The 3,048-nt window shown below is 40.1% G+C and overlaps 1 annotated feature.

Moving 5' to 3' along the window:
- Positions 2,379-2,539: a silencer, noted in NCBI's record as "fragment chr6:50533627-50533787 (GRCh37/hg19 assembly coordinates)". NCBI's record gives its function as "represses an EF-1alpha promoter that drives an FKBP-Casp9 reporter gene in an ReSE screen in phorbol 12-myristate 13-acetate-treated (for megakaryocytic differentiation) K562 erythroleukemia cells {active_cell/tissue: K562(+PMA)}" and the evidence as "EXISTENCE:reporter gene assay evidence [ECO:0000049][PMID:32094911]".

Genomic DNA, 3,048 nt, shown 5'->3' with positions numbered 1-3,048 from the left:
ATACTTTCCTGGAGGGTGGTGTGCTTGGGGAGGGCATGGAAGCTCAACTTCTCCCTCCCTCATACTTCACCCTAGGCATCTTTTCATCTGTATCCTTTGTAATATCCTTGATCATAAACCAGTAAACATAAATGTTTCTTTGAGTTCTGTGAGCCGCTCCAGCTAATTAATCAAACCCCAAAAGGGGATCATAAAACCTCAATTTGAAGGCAATTGGTTAGACGTTCCGGAGACCCAGACTTGTGACTGGTGTGTGTCTGTGCTGGTTGGGGGAAACTCTTGGGGACTGAGCCCAGAATCTGTGGAATCTTATACTATCTCCAGGTAGATAGTGTCAGAATTGAATCGGAGGACACCCAGTTGGTATCCACTGTTTAGTGTGTCAGAAAAACTCCCACATATTTGGTCACAGAAGTCTTCTGGTGTTGATGATTGTTACGGTAGTGTGAGAGTGGAGGAAAAACACAGTTTAAGAGAGTTTTTTTTTTCCCCCTAAACAGTTGATTTATTTCTTTACGGTATTTTTGCTATGTCTGTATGGATTTCCTTTTTCTATTATTTCTATAACTGAGATTTGCATTGCAGCGAGAAAGTAAAAATTGGTCCTGCTAATAACTAGGGAAAATGAAAACATTGGTGAAGAATCCAATATAATTTTTCAAATAGAATTTCAATGATTTGCTCAAGATACAGATGTTCATAACAAGACAAAGACAAGGGCACACTGTGACAAAAAATACAACACTTCCAATTTGAAATCACTGTTTCTTTACCAGCAACAAATCTAGACCCATATTAACCTTCTCACTTCCTGGATAAAAATTATAACCAAATAAGAAAATCTAAGAAAGTATCACAAAATAATTATTATTTTGAACAACCAAATTTCCCATGTATTTGGCTGTAAACAATCTGAAACTGGCTTTTACAAACAGCCTATAGCAATTCCCCATTGTGAAGATGCTCCTAAATTTTTTCTTCAGTATATTTTCCCTTGCTGCATCATGCTAAATAAACCTAATTTTGTGCATTCTTGGCGGTTTTCTTGGTTTCAGCAGTACTCAGGGCTTTATGTAAAGAATATTTCGGCTTCTGAGGAATTCTTGGAAACCGTCATTCCAATGCCTATGTAGTATTCTATTGTATCGTTCTGCCATTGTCAGAAATGTAGTTTTGTATTTTTGTCTGTTTAAACTTTTTAAAATTACAAATAACACATTAGTATATAAACATTTTCTGGGATTCCTACTTGTTTACTTAGGATAGATATATTAATGTATATTTACAATACAGAGTGTAGAAACATTATTATGCTATTTTATGTGTGTTACTAGGTTGTTTCTAGAAAGAATATTATGCTTTAGATATCAGCTAGCCATGTATGAGCATCCACTTTATTGCCCTTTCACCAGAATTGAGGATTATATTTTAACAAATCTGTCCATTTGACAAGTAACAAAAAAATGTCTTACTAGTTTTGAAATATGCATTCCTCTTACTACTTTACCCAGTACGTAGGTCCAAGGCTTCATGGCTATGTATTACAAAAGGGTCACATATACAGCAGTGCTCCAAATATTAATACTCATTTGGTTGGCAGGAAATTTAGTCTTTTTCCTGGATTTATCTCCTAATTTTAACCCCCAAAGACCTGGTAACAATAATAATAAGAGCTTAAATGTATCAAGTCCTTGCTATCTATCAGTCACTTTCAAAGCATGTCACATGCAAATACTCATCTAATCTCCATAATCATAACTTATGAATTAGGCACTATTATTATCTTGCCTTTTTCCTATGAGGAAACTGAGGCACAGAGAAGATAGGTAACTTGCTTACATTTCTGCAGTTAGCAAGTGGTGAAGCTGGAATGTGACGCCAGGCTTTCCTTGGGGAGGGACGAAGGTTTTAATAGACAACTAAAGCTGTTGACCACAGATCTGCAATTACTGTGCTGGTTTTAACTTCTCTTCCAGAAGCCACTCCCATTCTCCTAACTAAATACTCTTCTTGCTCCTGCTGGGGCTGTTGCCAACTCTCTTTGACCTGATCAGTTTGAAGCTTACCTTCTCTCTAAATAGCAGAAAAGCTGCATCTGCTTCTCTTGATTATCTCCACTGGGATTCAATATGTTTCTTCGTATGACATCCCTCTTTACTAGAGTGTACAAGCATCCTCAAGGTGTGGGGATGTTCCAGAGGTTGAGAGGGCACAGCCTCACCTTGCTCTTGGAAACTGCTCCCTCTAACTTCCATTCCCTGCAACTATTGCCTTCTCTGGGAATCCCTTCCAGTTACAAGTGCTGCATTACACATCACCCCAAAAACTAGTGCTTAAAACCTCACAATTGGCCAGGCACAGTGGCTCATGCCTGTAATCCCAGCACTTTGGGAGGCCGAGGCGGGCGGTTCACAAGGTCAGGAGTTCAAGACTAGCGTGGCCAAGTTGGTGAAGCCCCGTCTCCACTAAAAATACAAAATAATTAGCCAGGCATGGTGGTGAGCGCCTGTAATCCCTGCTACTCAGGAGTCTGAGGCAGAGAATTGCTTGAACCCGGGAGGCAGAGGTCACAGTGAGCTGAGATCGCACTACTGCACTCCAGCCTGGGTGACAGAGTGAGACTCCATAAAAACAAAACAAAACAAAACAAAAACAAAACAAACAAACAAACAAAAAACCCTACAATTATTTATTATGGTTACTGTGGGTCAAGAATTCAGGAAGTGCCTAGCTAGGCATTTGTTGCCCAGGGTCTTTCATGAGGTTGCAGTGGCTATGGAGAGCCGGAGGTCCATATGAAAGGCTTCTTTACGTACATTATTGGTGCCTAGTCTAGAAACACTGAAACAGGAAGGGGCTGAAACAGCTGGGACTCCTTGGCATCTCTTTCTCAGTGTATTCTTTCCAGCATGGGAGCTTCAGGATAGCTGGACTTCCTACATGGTGGCTCTGGGCTCTAATGGCAGACAGAAAGAAGGGGGTTGGGGGAGAGAGGGTTTTGAAAGCATGTTTAACATGCTCTCTCTCTCTCTCTCTCTACATCTGAAA

The sequence above is a fragment of the Homo sapiens genome, chromosome 6 (assembly GCF_000001405.40).
Source record: "Homo sapiens chromosome 6, GRCh38.p14 Primary Assembly".
NCBI classification, from domain to species: Eukaryota; Metazoa; Chordata; class Mammalia; order Primates; family Hominidae; genus Homo; species Homo sapiens.
The sequence above is the reverse complement of the archived record's forward strand: the minus strand, read 5'-3'. Positions and strand labels throughout refer to the sequence as shown.